The 17,169-nt window shown below is 47.4% G+C and overlaps 1 protein-coding gene across 12 annotated transcripts in view; it reads right to left on the minus strand.

The window, feature by feature from the left end:
• Nucleotides 1-17,169, minus strand: part of CSMD2 (CUB and Sushi multiple domains 2) — a 651,845-nt gene that overhangs the window by 300,948 nt on the left and 333,728 nt on the right. For 11 of the 12 annotated variants that reach the window (XM_047443685.1, XM_047443656.1, NM_052896.5 and 8 more), the window contains exons 7-9: nucleotides 10,752-10,829; nucleotides 5,524-5,611; nucleotides 4,768-4,892 (exon numbers count right to left, since the gene is read on the minus strand). In XM_047443685.1, coding sequence (XP_047299641.1) covers nucleotides 4,768-4,892; nucleotides 5,524-5,611; nucleotides 10,752-10,829 — 291 coding nt within the window. The remainder of the gene's footprint in view (nucleotides 1-4,767; nucleotides 4,893-5,523; nucleotides 5,612-10,751; nucleotides 10,830-17,169) is intronic. The other variant, XM_047443666.1, reaches the window with a different exon arrangement.

Below are 17,169 nucleotides of genomic sequence, written 5' to 3' on the forward strand. Positions count from 1 at the left end.
ACCACTCACCAATACCTACATCTTCCTCATCGCTCTCATATCTGCTTGGTGAAATGCCTGCTTTCCATCAATTCTACCACTCACCTTTTCCATCTCTAATCCTGGGGGCTGGGGGGCTACCAGGAGAACTGTGGTATCACGACAGATTCATGGTTTGCCATCACAATAGAAACTTCAGCCCAAGTCTATCATTTCCCATGTCTTCCTTCACCAATTCCTTGCAGAAACAAGTTCAAATATTCAACACTTGGTTGAGTCACTAACCCCAATGTTTACTTTTCAGTTGTGATTATACTTGACCTCTCTAGAGTATCTGACACTACTGATCTTTCTCTCTTTGTGAAACTCACATTCTTTGGCTTCAGTGACGCTTTTTGGCTTTTCTCCTACGTTTCTGACCGAATTTCTTCTTAGCTTTCTTCTTCTCCACTAACTTTTTAAAAGCAGTTGTTTAAATCTAGGAAAGGGTACATGGGAGCTTTTTGCACATTAATTGCAACTTTTCTGCAAGTTTAAAATCATATCAAAATTAAAAGTTACCCAAAAAAAGTGGGGAGTGGAGGGGGAGTTGCTCTGCATGGTTCCATCCAATCTATTGACTCCGAAGGATGTCCAGGTACAATTTTCAAGTAGAAGTAGGATTCAGCCTTTGGAGTCAGGGTTTGAAATTCAACTCAACAGATGTAGCTTTGTGCCCTTGGGCAAGTTGGCTGCCCACTCTAAGCTTCAGCTAAACATAAAATATGGTTATTGCCACTTTACTCATAAAGAAATTATGAAAAATGCCTAGTGCAATGCTATATACAAGTATACATAATTTAATAAATAAGAGCTTTATCATTAGCACATATAGGTAAGGGACTGAGGGACATTCTCAGGGCTGGAGCAATGGGGCATGTACTCTAGTACAATCAGTATGTGTCATCCAGGGAAAATAAGTGGAGAGGAGAAGAGAGGAAAGAAGAGAAGAGATCTGAAAATAGAACTCTGGATAACAATTATGTTTAAGGAGTAAAACCAGAAAGCTGATCTAATGAAATCCACCAAGAAGACAGCCACCTGTAATTATCATGGCATTTAATTCACCCTGGTTTGTGCCATATTTCTCCTGTTTTACTGCCCTTTTACAGATGAGGAAAAAGATCCATAGTGTTTCAGTGATTTTCCCTGTGCCACATGGTTAATAACAAAGTCGGAACTTTAACTTAGGTCTCTAAGTCCCAAGCTTGGTATTCTAGCCACCCAAAGGCATATACATATATATGAGTTTAGCCACAAAGGAAAAATAATATATATAAGTTCCTGTTAATTATTTACTTTGTGAATCAGTAACTGTAAGAGTTTCATCTGGGCCTGGTACTCAGTCCCTAAACTCTATCAACACCAATTTGTGATCACAAGAAATCAGAGCTGGTTGTTAATTTGGTCCTCTCACTATACCAGTGGTTTACAGTGTTCCCTGGGGCCCCAGGGGTACCAGGACTCAAAGGCTACTGAAAATGGTGATGGAGGGGAGACTAGAAATCCCCTGACCCAACTTTAATCAGAGATGCTCCACTTGTATCTGTTTTATTTATTAGGGTTCTGCAAAAACTTATTTTTGAATATTGGGCTCCATATGTAAAATAAGTCTGAAAAGCTCTATATCTATGGACTCTGCCTGTATCTGGGGCTGAACAGAATTAGTTTAACAGTGTTTCACATTGCCCTCAATCTCCTTTGTGTGATGAAAATTTTCTAGGAGTCAAATTAGAAGCTTATTTCTTCTGATGGGAGGGAAAGAAAAGAAAGGCCTGTGAACGCCTAATTTCATATCTCAAAATGAGGGCACAGTCCCATATTGTTCATTCATTTCAATCACTGATTCATTCAGGTGGTCCTCAAACATTAGCTGAGAACCTATTATTTGCCAGGCCCCATGTTTTAGTAGAATTAATTGTGTGGGAAAATGAGTATTTCTAATCAAATCATATTTTAACTGCATTAAAGAAAAAATAATACCATTATTATGGTAAAATCCTTTTTAGAATGTGATCTTTTGGTAACCTGCTTGTTAGTGGAACTTCTTGGAATGGAAAGAGTTTTGTTCGTTTTCATTCTTAAGGTGGGGTTCACCTAAACTGTCCTAAAAATCACAGAATAGTGATTGCGATTAATTGAAAACAAAATATTTTAAAATAAAAACCTTAAAATTGCCAAAATAAAAAGACGCTTTACTCTAATATCTATCTCAGCCCTGGGCCTTCAGGGAAGCCCAGGACATATCATCCAAGTTCAAACCCAGGAGACTTAGCAGTCTCTCTTTCTCCTTCACAATGGCCTATAGGAGGGGAGAAAAAAGAGAGAAGAAGGCAGGAATATTAACCTGTGTTGAGAATGTACCCTCCACCACCGTCAGGGCTGGTCACTTTCTAGAAAATGCCTTGTTTAAATTTCATAATCAGTAGGCGGGGAAGATTTTGTTTTCCTTGTTCACAAATGAAGGCCTGTGGCTAAAAAAGATGAAGGAACCCGCCCAGGGCCAGCAAGCTAAAAGGTGTCAGAGTTGTGATCTAGATCAAAGTCCATGTGACTCCCAAACTGTATGATTGCAATAGGATTAGACAAGACAGCTTCTAAAAGAACCTGCAGCAACTAGAGGCTGAGGTTTGCTCCAGGGCTTGAGGAAGCTTATGTGGACAGTGCCCAGCAGGTTAAGCTGAATATGTGTGCACGTAAGTCTCACAGACGTACTGGCATCACTTCTAAACAAGGACTGCCTCATCTAGTCCTCAAAGTAACCCCACGAAGTAATGTTCTATTATCACCACTTTTTGGCAGGAAAAAAGAGATTCAGAGAGGTGAAGAAACTGGCCCAAGGGCCCCAGCTAAAAATGATGATGGTTGGATTTGTACCATGATTTCCTGTTGTTTTACAGTAGCAGGTGATGGAATGAGATGACCACGTGAAAAAGCCCAGCCCAATGCTTAGTTACAATGCAGCAGAGAACTCAGACTTCAGTGGGTCCAAATCACTGGAGAAAAGGATGAACACACTTTTTCAGCTACAAACTTCCCTCAGGTCAAAACCAGCCCTTCTCCACCCTTGGCATGTTCATGTAAACAATCATCATCTCTTGAGAACTAAGAGAACAACCTTCCTCTAGTGAAAAGGTCTTGAGGAGGGACCAGATCCCACCACTGCAAAAGGCATTGTCATCCTGGCTTCTCAAAAGGAATTCTGAAACGACAGATGGGCAGGGTCCCTTGGTCCTCAGACTTGATAATTCTATGCCTCTCTGCACAGCTGGTGTCTGGGCTCCCTGGCATTGGAGTGGTATGCTATTCAATGAGTCATTCATTCCGTCATCCATTCAACACCTGTTACTGAGTACCTGCTACATGCCACGCCCCATTTTAGGCAGTGAACAAAACAGAAGTCCTTGCCCTATAGAGCTCATGTTCTACTGGCATGAGGATATTTTTTTTCTTCTAGCACTTTTCAATTCATAAACTGCTTACACATTCACAACTCCATTCAATCTCCACATTAAACAGAAGAAGGGTAGGATACATACTATTAGCAACATTTGGAGGTAAGAAAGGCTTAGGGAAAATGGGTGATTTGCCCAATTGCTGAGAGTTATGACAAGAATTCTTTTTTGTTGTTTGATTTTTTAAAAACATAGTAGCTATGTAGAATCCTTGAGATAATATAGCTAAAATCAGTGAAAATGCAAAGAACATTATAAACTGTAGAACATGGCCACCTCAAAGTTGAATGAGGATGTAAGGCTTATTTGAAAGATGTTATAGTGACACTCTTCTAGATTACTTATGGACTCAGTTAAAAAACAGGATATGGGTTTCAGCTCCAACTCTGCCCCTTTCTCAGTATAATAATGAGATATTATTTTTCCTGGATCCTCTTACTCTGCATGAATTTTATCTTGATGCATATGCCAAAGAGAGGCAAAGAATCTCTTTCTTAGATCAGAAGGATCCAGCATGTAACTTTGCAGTGGGCAACATATCTTCTCCTCTAAAGGGGCACTCAAAAGAGCACCTGTTGGCTTTTAAAGACTACCTAACAGCCTAGTGCACAGGGGCTCTCTCTGCTGGTTCCCTGGGGGATGAGGTCAGGGGCTTCTCTACCACAGAAGCAGCTGTAGCCCTGCCCCAAAGCAGGAATACACTTGGCTCTGTTATTTTAAGATTATTTGGGGGGTAGGGGCTAGGCCAGCCCAGGCTTGGCTCATGTGACACCTGGGGATGTGGTGGCAGGGCCCTGGGGAACAAAACACCCAGATAGGGGGTTAGAAGCATGTCATCACTACATAGGTAAAAACACTCTTGCAGAAGTGACAAGTCTGTCTGTTGCAATATGGGGAAAGAAACAGGGTTCAAGATGCATGTGTGTTGTAACAGAGGGATTCAAGGTGACTGTATAAAAGGTGACTTCCTTTCCTATCTAGGTGTGGTTCAGTATCCATTCAATGAGGTAGCAAGCTGTTTCTTACGTGCCTCACCCATTAGACTGTAAGGTCCATGCAGGGCAAGCACCATAATGCTTATCTTCCCCATCTCTGTATCTCCTGATCCTAGCGCAGGCCTTGATACTGAGAAAGGGCTGGATAAGTATGCTTATTGGTAAATAAGTGCAGGGAGTGAGGGGGGAGGGGAGCCAGTCTGCTTGAGAGCCTGGGCCTCAGGTGCTGGGAGCTGGGCTTCAGCCTCCAGGCTCAGCCCAACTCTCTGGCCAGCCTCCCTTCCCCAGGGCACCCTCACCTCGGCAGACTGGCCTGTGGTCGCTCCAGGCCGCAAACATGTCGCTCACTTTCATACAGGTGATCCGCTTGGACCCTTGCAGGTCATAGCCCTCGTTGCAGGTGAACTGGACGCTGGATCCTAACCTGGGAGACAAAGTGTGTCTGTGAGCTCCATCCCTGGGCCTGCCAAGCCCCGCCCCAAGTCCTTCCTGGTTCCACAAAGAAGCCGCACATGTTATTTTTCCTTCTGGCCCTTAATCTCTGCTCCACTGTTTTATCACTAAAAATCTCCATTGGAAGGAACATCTGCTCTTCATCTTCTTTTTTCGGACTGTTTAATGGTTTTAGGATTGAGTTAAAAGGTGACTTTGTGAGCAAAACAGCGATCCTCTGAGATAAGCACCAGTTAGGGCAGCTAAGCGTGGGTGGATGATACCCATAAACTTTAAGGAAAATGGTCTCCTAGATTATTGCAGGCGCGAGTTGCCTTCTGGCGTGTCATTACTGAGATGGCAGCCCTTTGTACCCTGGGTACATAGGTTTTCTGGATAACACTGGCAGTCTACAGTTCTCTCCCCCCACTAAAGCATGGGCACTATGCCAAGGACTGAACCAGGAGAGAATGTCAAAGCCATAGCTCTTCTCCAGGAAGTGTCTGTTCCTATATCCATGCCATCCTCTCCATTTCCACCTGCAGGAAGGCCAGCCCCTGTCTTCCTCCCAGCCAGGCCACCCCACCCTTCTTGCAATCAGAAAATTCCCAAATAGATCTTACCTGAAATCCGAGCCTAGTCTTTTGCCCCTTTCGGGTATGCCAGGGTCTGGACACATATTATGTCCTTGGGACACACCAACCTGAGTTACTACAAGGCAAAAAAAAAAAAAAAAAAAAAAACAGCACACACAGAGATGGACAGTCACAGGGAGGCACCAGCTGGGGCAATGTCTCAGGGTGGGAGGTGGAGGCAGAGACAGAATGAGGCCCTGCTTTGTTGGGGCTGTGTGGGGTGGCCGGAGTCTACTGGCCTGGGGTTTCTTGGATGTGCAAGATAGGAGGCTGCTTTTGACAAATTCCTTTGTGAGCAAAGTCATCACGAGTGTGTGGGCTCAGAGACAGGCCCTCCATGCCAACCACCACCTGCTTCCCTCGTCCCACACCAGCAGCCAGAAGTGGACCATCCACAGCCCCTGGTGACCTCCCCCCACCACGCCTATGCTTCAGATCTGGGGTGGAGACTCTAGATGAAATGAGCCCCCCACCTCAGCCCCAGATGGAGAAATGACTCAAAGAAAGTTAAATAAAAGGTGGGTGCATGATCAGAAACGGTAAAGAATGTAAGAGAAAGCTGCAGTCAAAGTTCAAAGCTGGGACTTCAGCTCAAACACAGACATTTCTTCTGAGAAACCTCTTCCCATCAGATACTTCTCGAGCCAGAGTAAGCAGTCACCAGAGCATCCCCTACCCAGTGCCACCCATCAAGGGCACCGGGCAGAGATGGCACCTGTGATGGTTCTGGTAGGTGGTGCAATGCTCTGACACTTGCCAGCGCCAGAGTCCTATTTACAAAAACCATATGCACAGTTGTCTTGGCTAGAGGAGAAGCTTGGTCAGGGGGCAGCGGATACACACACAGTAGGGAGGGTAGGCAACCCTTTGGCCCCTGCCTGTTCCTTTTCGTCGGGATGCTGGTACTGAGGAGGCTGGATTCCTGGCTTTGAGGATGACCAGGAGCTGGAGCCAGGCACACAGCCTGGTCGGAGGAGTTCCACTCAAAGCCTCACCAATCCCATGACCCCAACAGCAACCTCTAGACAAGGGTTCCAGGGCATCTGGACAGCATTCGGCATTTTCCAACTTTGCGCATGTCCCTCCCATCCCATTCAATGTCCCATAAGGTGAACAAAGCACTCCATTACTCACTCACCCACTTGCTCACATAGGTACACAACAAGCATTCATTGAGCACCTACTGTGTACAAGGCTTTATTTGGATACCATGGAAATGCGAAAGGTAGTCAGATAAGACCACTGTCCTCAAGGAGTTTCCAGTTGAGTGAGGACATAAACCACGGAAGCGGACTGTGGGACCACAGTGGGGAGGGATGAAGGATGCACCCGCATGTGAGGCTGCCTGGAAGAGGTGGCATCGAACATGGACCTTCTGAGCTAATAGGATTTAGACACACGGCAACAGAGATGACAAAGATAGACAGGCACGAGGAGTGAGGTGGAAACCTGGAAAGAGAATGCGTGTTATGCAGTGTGACCAGAGTAGGAGGGAAGGTGAAGAGTGACAAGGAAGAGTGGATGGTGAGGTTTCAGAGATCAGACTTTTACGGGGTTTGAGTCTGATCCTGAAAATGATGGGGAGCCGCTGGAGAGTTCTGGTGGGGAGAAGGCGTGGTGAGACCCGCTGGCTCAAAGGTGGGCCAGTTACCTAGAGATGAGTTAGGAAATTTTGTGATTATTCAGGCTGAGGACAACAAGAGCCTGGAGTGAGGCTAGACATGAGACAGCAGGAATGGATGTGGCAAAGAAAGAATCCCTGGGACTCACAGGGGACCTAGGGCATGAGGAGAAGGAGCAGGGCATTTCCAGGATTTCCAGGGCCTGGGTACCTGTGAGGATGCAGGTGGTTTCATAGAAGTAAGGAAGGTGGGGAGCTCGTTTTAGACTCACTGAGGGAGTCTACAGTTAGAGGCCTGAAGTAGACCGTGTTTAAACCTCCAGGTAGCCCAGGCTATGGCTGGCCATGGAACCTGAGGATTTGGACAGACTGTGTGCTCAAGCCAGACACAGGTATCCTCTTGGTTGTGTGCAGTGCACGTTCAAGCCAGTTACCCCTACCCCTACTTGTCTCTTACGCCCATCCCCTTCCTTGCCAAGCCTTTACCTCCAAAGCTTTCACATCCTGAGCCGTTCCCACCAGTCCAGACACCTCAGGCTGGGAAAGTAAGATGGAAGTGCCATTCCCGAAGCAGAGGAAGCTCCTGCTTCCTGGAAGCCTCAGTTTTTTGCAAGTAATGGAACGGAGATAACTAGGGGGTCCTCTAAGGCACCCAGAAGGTGGGAAGGAGGAGGAAGCCTGAGCTGTATTTGCTGCCTTATCTGTGGTAAGCCAGGTCCCCCTAGAGCTTCACAGTGATCCGTCCCTACTGCAGACTTCCCAGCTAAGCACCCACCTTCTTTAGATTCTGTCTAGTCAACCCTGTGACCCACGAGTCATACCCATCCCAAAGTCTCTGCTGACCATTTCATGGGAACCACACAGCCCCCTTGCAGCACGTGAAGAACATATGGCGGTTCCCTTTCCCCTTCTCTTGCCCTCTCATTCAGTATTGACATCACCCAGGAAGCAGAACGAACAGAAGTCTGCCCCATCAGGACGGGGCTGGACTCAAGAGGCGAGACCATGGCAAAGCCCACCCGCCAAGCCACAAGCCCCTGACAGACAGAGCAGACCCTACCGCCTCCCCTTTCCTCAGCCAGCCCCAGGTGAAACCCAGGCACCATCCAGAAAGTCACAAACCCAACGGTGACGCGGCTTATACCCAGCCAGTGCCCCCTTCCAGGGAGGACTGAGCAGGGGATGGTGGTCCCACGAGGATCTTCAAGCTTCCCCAGGAAACAAGCAAACTTAAATCTCAGCGATCAGTTTACTGTCTGAATTATGGAGGCAAGAAGTGTTTCTCCCTTTCTTTTTTTTTTTTTTAATTCCAGTCTTCTCTGCCTACTCAAAACCAGCTGCTTGTGTTTACAGCATTGCTTTCCTGTTGGCTACTGAGGGACAGGAATGGGGAGTAATCCTTACTCTACTCTGGGAGGGCCACTATGGCAAGGGAGAAGCCGCAATGTGCTCAGGAAGGCACCACCTTCTACCCAACGCAGGGAGTCACAGGTGGGTGGGTGGTCAGAACTGATGGCAAGGTAGAGAGTTGGGTCCACTCTCCCCATGAACTTCAGGGCAGCTGTCCACAGGGAATTTGGGCAGAACACAGGAGGCCAGCCACCTGAAGACATGTGGCTACCTGGGTCTGAGGCAGCTGGAGTCACACACCCATTCTTTCTGAGGAACTCTTAGAATGGAGGCTAATATCTTCTCAATAGAGATATATATATTTATTTTGCAAAGAGCATTTGCATTCTTTCATTAGAACAGGGTTTCTCTTTATCTTCCTGAGGGAGTTTTTGGCATCTTCTTAGTCGGCTTAATGAAAACCCTGCATCCTGTCTCCAGAAAAATGCACCCAGAGCATCACATGTACTTTTTTGGCTAGTCCATGGGCCTCCTGAAGTCCTAGGTCAACAAGACCCATCTTAGATCTGGCAACACTCTTGGGAGGAAGGCAGGGTAGGATTTTGCATCCCCATTCTACAGATGTGAAAACTGAAACATTAGTGTCTGGGGTAACATGCTCCCTGAGGACACAGTTGGGATAAATATTTGATCTCCCAAGTCAGGGCCATTTCCTTAAGTTTGCCTGTGGCTCCAGGGCAAACTGTGAAATTAAACTGTGCCTGCCTCAGTTCATTGGGTCTCCTGTGGCTACAGAAAGAAAAAGCCTGTGAGGGTCAGGGCCATGGCTTGAGCCCTCTGCAGGTTCCTGGCCTGACCCTGGGCTCTCCTAGCACCCTGTCCTTTCCCCTAAACCCCCAGTCAAGCACAGAAGAAGGCTCTTCTGGTGCCCTCTGCCATCCAGTCCCTGAGGGTGGTGACTGGAGATGCCAGTTCCTGGCTGTATCCAACAGCCTGTGGCAACTGTCTCCACTCAGACAACTTCAAAGACCACAGACAATCCCCAACCCAGGCTCGGTTCAGTCGGAGCCTGAGACCAAAGTGCCTCTTCTCCTGATGTTCTCCCGGCCACACACATCGGCACAGAGCTCGAAAACCACCGGTGCCACTCTATGCCCTTCTCTCCTCAATAAGTACTTCTAGCATCTCCAGGAAAGTGAGCACATGGAGGTGAGATGGAAGGGGAGGAATGGGGAGGGTGGGAGGAGCAAGTCAGGGACAGGAAGACAAGCAGGGAGAGAAGAGGCGGGAGCAGAAGGATGAGAAGAACGATGGAGCAGAAAGTGGCAAGAGGAGAAAAAGTGAAGGGAGAGAGGACCAGAGATGCAGGAGAAGGGCAAAGGGAGGGAAGGAGAAGGAAAACCAGGTCAGTCATTTGGAGGACCAAGGAAGGCTCCCTACCACTCGGCCCAGAAGGAAAGTGGAAGGTTTCTGGAAAAAAACCTCCCCTGCTTTTAAGCCCAGTCTTGTGGAGGTGCCCAGAACCTTCCCCAGCCCTTCCTGGGCTTCAGCTCAAAAGCCCCTTAGCACAGGCCCTGATCAGGTGTTTCTGGGACCCACATTCCAGACCATTCCCCAGAACTAGACCCCTATTAACCTTACAAACACTGGTAGCAGGAACATGTTCTGAAAGATGTCATCCTCCCCATGCCCAAGAAGAGAGCCCCCAGTGCCTCCCCATTGACCCGAGGCAGGACCCACCCCCACACTTCCCCAGTCCTCTCTTTGCTCAGCCAGGTCCAGGGGCCCTTGGAGGAGGTTACTAGGCATTCCCCTGCCTCCCTTTCCCAATCTGGCCTTGGGAGCTGGAACTGGGGCCCTACAGCCCCCAAGATCCCAGCCCAAGGTTACTGACTCCTAAAAGAGGAGCTGAAGGAGGACTGTCTTAGCAGGTGGAAGTGATTCAAAAGGAAAATAAAGAGAGAAATGTAGCAGTAATGACTCCCTGGACTGCAGTTCAAATGGGAAGTGAGGGAGAAAGAGGACAAGGAGGAAAATGGGAAGAGGAGGAGGAGAAGGCAAAGGGCAGGCCCCAGGGCTGCTCTCTGGCCGTTGGGTCAGTGTGTCCAAGCGCAGAGCCCAGGATGGAGGAAGCAGGGTTGAAGGAAAGTCATTCCAGCATCATCTGGCTTCCCCACGGTTTAGTGCCTGCACGTGTGACCTCAAGCAAGAGGCCCGGCAGGCGGGCTGGCGGGCGGACACTTACACACAGACGTCTTCTGGCTGTTGTCTTTGCTGGGCATCAGCTTCACACCTCGAGACTTCAACTCAATTTGCTTCTTGACTAGAGAGGAGGTAAGAGGAAAAACAATGTGAGTTGTTGCCTGTGACCAGGGATAAGGGTCCCTCTAGAAGGATTCCCCCTTGTGCCTTGGAACATTCCATGGTGGGTCAAAGCCAGGAACTTCTGGGCTGGGACATTCCAAGGGTAGTGGTCAAGGGCAATAGGACCTCAGACATGAAGGAAAAGTTACTATCAAGGCTAGCCCTCTGAGGGAGGCCAAAAATGTGGTCTCCTACTGGGTGGGCTCTGAGAGGCTCTGGGACTCCCCCGGTGGCCTCTCACAGATGTCTGAGATTTCACCAGACCTACTGAATTCAACCTGCTCCTCAGCAAACTTTTCATGAGCGTCGACGTGTGCAGCCTTGCAGCCCACCTCTGCTTCTCCACAGCTTTTTCTCTACCTCAGTTCTGAGTCAGCCCTGACAGGGTATGGTAGATCAGAATATGGGCCCAAATTGTCACTACTCATTGTATTCTCACCATTTGCAATGTGATTTTTTAGCTCCCTCCATTACAGAGGTGGAGTACATTCCCCCACTCCTTGACTTTGGGTTTGGCCTTGTGACTTGCTTTGGCCATGGGAAATTTGGAGGCCTTGATGTGTTCAAAGGCATAAAAGCACTTGCCAGATTAGGCTTGGCCTCTTGCATCTCTGCCATCATTGTGAGACAACATAGCTGCTCCCAGGAGGATAAGAGACACATGGGGGAAGAGGGAATTAGCCAAGCCAAGCCCAGCCTACATAAGCCAACCTCTTACAGGCAGGGGAAGCTGAATCCTGGAGGTCACTGGGAGATGGGGCCTGACTCAAGTGGGTGCCTGATGGATCAGATCTGGCTTTGACCCTGTCACTAAGTCCAGCCTAGTCCTCAGTTCATCAGAACTTTGCCAAATAGCACACAAAAGGTGCCAGAGCCAGAACTCCATAATTCCAAAGGCCATTCCTCTGTACCCATCAGCCGCCTTTGGTCTGACCACCCCTGTTACCCAAGGCATTCTCTTGGCCTCTAACAGCTTCACCCTGTCTCTGGTTATATGCCTTGGAGCAGCTGTTTAATCCCAGCTACCCACGGTGCCATCTTCCAGCTGGCCCCGCCTGCTGACTTAGCCCTGCTCAGATTGATACCCAGGAGTGGTGACAACAACTGTAACTGGGCACTTCATACGTGCCAGGTCCAGGGTGCTTTACAAGTTCTTTACTTAAATCAGCGTCCTTGACTCCTCTTTCTCAAACCCACACACAATCCATCAGAAAATCCTTCCAAATATATCCCAAAGGCAACCACTTCTCACAACTTCCATTGTCTATCATCCTGATTCAAGTCTGAGATACCTTTCCCCTCATGACTGTGGCCTCCCATTCTCCACCCTTGTCCCTATATAGTCTGTCCTTAGCACAAGAACCAGAGGGATCCTATTAAAACATAAGTCAAACCATATTACATCTCTGCTCAAAGCTCATCAGTGGCAACCCATGTCTTCTAGAGTAAAAGTCCTTAAGATGGCCTGCAAGACCAATCTGTTCTCCCCATGACCTCTCTGACTCTGTATTTGGCCTCGATTGCTCTTCTCCAGCCTCATGGGCCTCTCTGATGTGCCTACAATATGCCAGGCATGCTTCTGCTTCAGCCTGCCAATTCCCCAAAAGGCCTTTCCTCAGGTATCTCTACGACTTGCTCCCCTTTTCCCTTAAGTGTTTGTGCAAACACCATTTCTTCACTGAGGCCTTCCCTGACCACTCCATTAAAATGACACCTGCAACCCCAGCTCTCCCTGCCTCCTTCCCAACGTTATCTTCCCAATGTTCTAACATACTATACCATTTATGTAGTTATTTTTGTCACTCCACATTGCAATGTAAGCTCTACAAAGGCAGGGATTTTTATTCATGGGTGTATCCTCAACGCCTAGAATCATTTCATTTGGTCCTTATACTTTCAACAACCTTGACTGGTAGTTATTATACCTACTCAATAGATAATCAAATCAGGGTTCAAAGTGGTTTAGGTGACTTGCTGTAAGTCACACAGCCAGGAAACAGCTGTGTTCTTCACTGAGCCTCAGCCTCTTTTCTTGTGATCTGCACCCAAAGCAATCTCAGGGAAACTGTAAACCTTCTCCAGGATCTGCTCCCAAGCTCAGGCTCTGAAAACTCAGGTATTTGCTCTGGACTTGAGGTAACAGGCCAATCCCCAAATCAAAGCTCACAGTAATCAGATATGCAAGGAAGGCTGCCTCCCAGTCCCCCAACTCTGGCTACATGAAAAAGTTCCCCAAGGGTTTGTTCCCTGGCAGGCAAGTCACTGTGTAATCTGAATGCCTGATAAAATTCAGTTATTACCACGGAGTCATAGCCTCCCAACATGCATTCAAACCGTTTTTATAAATGTGCATTACTCTCCATGTGTATCCAGCAGGAAAATTTCCAATGAACACTAACATGGACACACGATCAAACAGAGGGCATTAGTAGGGAAACATACATTATTCAAGCCTAGCTAATACAGTGCGGCAGGGGGATAGCCCTCTGATTCACTATCCCTGGGAGAACAGGAGCAGTTCCAGCACCACAACAACAATTTGAGCCTGATAGCCCTGGTACCCCAGCATCAGGGCAGCAGTGGGTGAGGGGTCTCTATGACCCGGTGCAGCCCATTTGTGGTCAGGTCTGTGGAGATGGCTCAGGGCACCTGGCCAAGTGGGAGGTGAAGAAAGAGTCTTCATCGTCTCCTTGTCTCTGGCTCTAGTGTTGCTAGAGGAAGGGGAATGAGGAAGGGGACCAGAGCACCACAGAGGCCATTCCCAGGGGCAAAGCTGCTTGGATTTTCCATGTAGGGGCTGATGTGGGCACTGTGAGATATGTGTGGCCATGAGGGGAGGCGATGCTAAGAGGGAGCCTCCCCTTCCTCTCTTCTCACGGTTGCATTGAGGAAAAGTCTCCTGCTCCTTGCCTCTCTCAAGGGCCCAGAAAGAATCCTTCTGATTTCTGTGTCCACCCTCTCCACTCATTCCTCCGCAAGGAAAGACTGCCTAACCTAATGGATCTGTGCTTAATATTCATTGGGCTGCTTCTAGTAATGGATGATGTCATCATGCAACGCAAGCTTGAGCTAACTTCTGTTCTTCCTCTTTTACTTCCTGCTACTTAGCATAGGATGGAGTTTGTCAAGGTGATGAGAACTGAGTGAGAAGGAACCTGAAAAGCTGCAGGGAGCTCCATAATGTACATATGAACTTGGTGATTACCGCTTTGAGCTAGGTCTGAGAGGTTATATCACCAGTGTTGCCTGTAGCCACCACATGGTCATCGGATGCATGCTAGAATCCACAGGTAGAGTCTTTGTCCTCATCATGTTAGCGCAGGGAAATACAGGGGTCACAGCTCTTTGGGCAAGGGTTCTGCATACCAACAACACAAACTCTACAAAATGTATATTCAGGCCCAGCTGATTGATGGTAGAACCTACAGTTGGCACACACCATATGGGAGCTGATTGATGGGTCATGTAAGATCCTTCACTGAGGGGTAAGCTCTAGGCAAGATCCACATCACCAGGAACATTAGCATTTTTTTTTAGATTAAATTTACTTTTATTTACAGTCTCTTCAAATGACTTTCCTTTTTTTATTATTATACTTAAAGTTCAGGGTACATGTGCACAACGTGCAGTTTTGTTACATATATATACATGTGTCATGTCGGTGTGCTGCACCCATTAACTCGTCATTTAACATTAGGTATATCTGGAGGAGCCAAGGTGGCCGAATAGGAACAGCTCCAGTCTACAGCTCCCAGCGTGAGCGACGCAGAAGAAGGGTGATTTCTGCATTTCCATCTGAGGTACTGGGTTCATCTCACTAGGAAGTGCTAGACAGTGGGCGCAGGACAGTGGGTGCAGCGCACCGTGCATGAGCCAAAGCAGGGTGAGGCATTGCCTCACTCGGGAAGTGCAAGGGATCAGGGAGTTCCCTTTCATGGTCAAGGAAAGGGGTGACAGACGGCACGTGGAAAATCGGGTCACTCCCACCCGAATACTGCGCTTTTCCAACGGGCTTAGGAAATGGCACACCAGGAGATTATATTCCGCACCTAGCTCGGAGGGTCCTACGCCCACGGAGTGTCGCTGATTGCTAGCACAGCAGTCTGAGATCAAACTGCAAGGCAGCAGCAAGGCGGGGGGAGGGGCGCCCGCCATTGCCCAGGCTTCAGTAGGTAAACAAAGCAGCTGGGAAGCTCGAACTGGGTGGAGTGCACCACTGCTCAAGGAGGCCTGCCTGCCTCTGTAGGCTCCACCTCTGGGGGCAGGGCACAGACAAACAAAAAGACAGCAGTAACCTCTGCAGACTTAAATGCCCCCATCTGACAGCTTTGAAGAGAGCAGTGGTTCTCCCAGCATGCAGCTGGAGATCTGAGAATGGGCAGACTGCCTCCTCAAGTGGGTCCCTGACCCTTGACCCCCGAGCAGCCTAACTGGGAGGCACCCCCCAGTAGGGGCAGACTGACACCTCACACGGCCGGGTACTCCTCTGAGACAAAACTTCCAGAGGAATAATCAGACAGCAGCATTCGTGGTTCACGAAAATCTGCTGTTCTGCAGACACCGCTGCTGATACCCAGGCAAACAGGGTCTGGAGTGGACCTCTAGCAAACTCCAACAGACTTGCAGCTGAGGGTCCTGTCTGTTAGAAGGAAAACTAACAAACAGAAAGGACATCCACACCAAAAACCTATCTGTACATCACCATCATCAAAGACCAAAAGTAGATAAAACCACAAAGATGGGGAAAAAACAGAGCAGAAAAACTGGAAACTCTAAAAAGCAGAGCGCCTCTCCTCCTCCAAAGGAACGCAGTTCCTCACCAGCAACGGAACAAAGCTGGATGGAGAATGACTTTGACGAATTGAGAGAAGAAGCCTTCAGATGATCAAACTACTCTGAGCTACAAGAGGAAATTCAAACCAAAGGCAAAGAAGTTGAAAACTTTGAAAAAAATTTAGAAGAATGTATAACTAGAATAACCAATACAGAGAAGTGCTTAAAGGAGCTGATGGAGCTGAAAGCCAAGGCTCGAGAACTACGTGAAGAGTGCAGAAGCCTCAGGAGCTGAAGTGATCAACTGGAAGAAAGGGTATCAGTGATGGAAGATCAAATGAATGAAATGAAGTGAGAAGGGAAGTTTAGAGAAAAAAGAATAAAAAGAAACGAACAAAGATTCCAAGAAATATGGGACTATGTGAAAAGACCAAATCTACGTCTGATTGGTGTACCTGAAAGTGACGGGGAGAATGGAACCAAGTTGGAAAACACCCTGCAGGATACTATCCAGGAGAACTTCTCCAATCTAGCAAGGCAGGCCAACGTTCAGATTCAGGAAATACAGAGAACGCCACAAAGATACTCCTCGAGAAGAGCAACTCTAAGACACATAATTGTCAGATTCACCAAAGTTGAAATGAAGGAAAAAATGTTAAGGGCAGCCAGAGAGAAAGGTTAGGTTACCCACAAAGGGAAGCCCATCAGACTAACAGCGGATTTCTCGGCAGAAACTCTACAAGTCAGAAGAAATTGGGGGCCAATATTCAACATTCTTAAAGAAAAGAATTTTCAACCCAGAATTTCATATCCAGCCAAACTAAGCTTCATAAGTGAAGGAGAAATAAAATCCCTTACAAACAAGCAAATGCTGAGAGATTTTGTCACCACCAGGCCTGCCCTAAAAGAGCTCCTGAAGGAAGCACTAAACATGGAAAGGAACAAATGGTACCAGCTGCTGCAAAATCATGCCAAAATGTAAAGACCATCGAGACTAGGAAGAAACTGCATCAACTAACGAGCAAAATAACCAGCTAACATCATCATGACAGGATCAAATTCACACATAACAATATTAACCTTAAATGTAAATGGACTAAATGCTCCAATTAAAAGACATCGACTGGTAAATTGGATAAAGAGTCAAGACCCATCAGTGTGCTGTATTCAGGAAACCCATCTCACGTGCAGAGACACACATAGGCTCAAAATAAAAGGATGGAGGAAGATCTACCAAGCAAATGGAAAACAAAAAAAGGCAGGGGTTGCAATCCTAGTCTCTGATAATACAGACTTTAAACCAATAAAGATCAAAAGAGACAAAGAAGGCCATTACATAATGGTAAAGGGATCAATTCAACAAGAAGAGCTAACTATCTTAAATATATATGCACCCAATACAGGAGCACCCGGGTTCATAAAGCAAGTCCTGAGTGACCTACAAAGAGACTTAGACTCCCACACAATAATAATGGGAGACTTTAACACCCCACTGTCAATATTAGACAGATCAACGAGACAGAAAG

This window comes from Homo sapiens, chromosome 1 (genome assembly GCF_000001405.40).
Source record: "Homo sapiens chromosome 1, GRCh38.p14 Primary Assembly".
Taxonomy (NCBI): domain Eukaryota; kingdom Metazoa; phylum Chordata; class Mammalia; order Primates; family Hominidae; genus Homo; species Homo sapiens.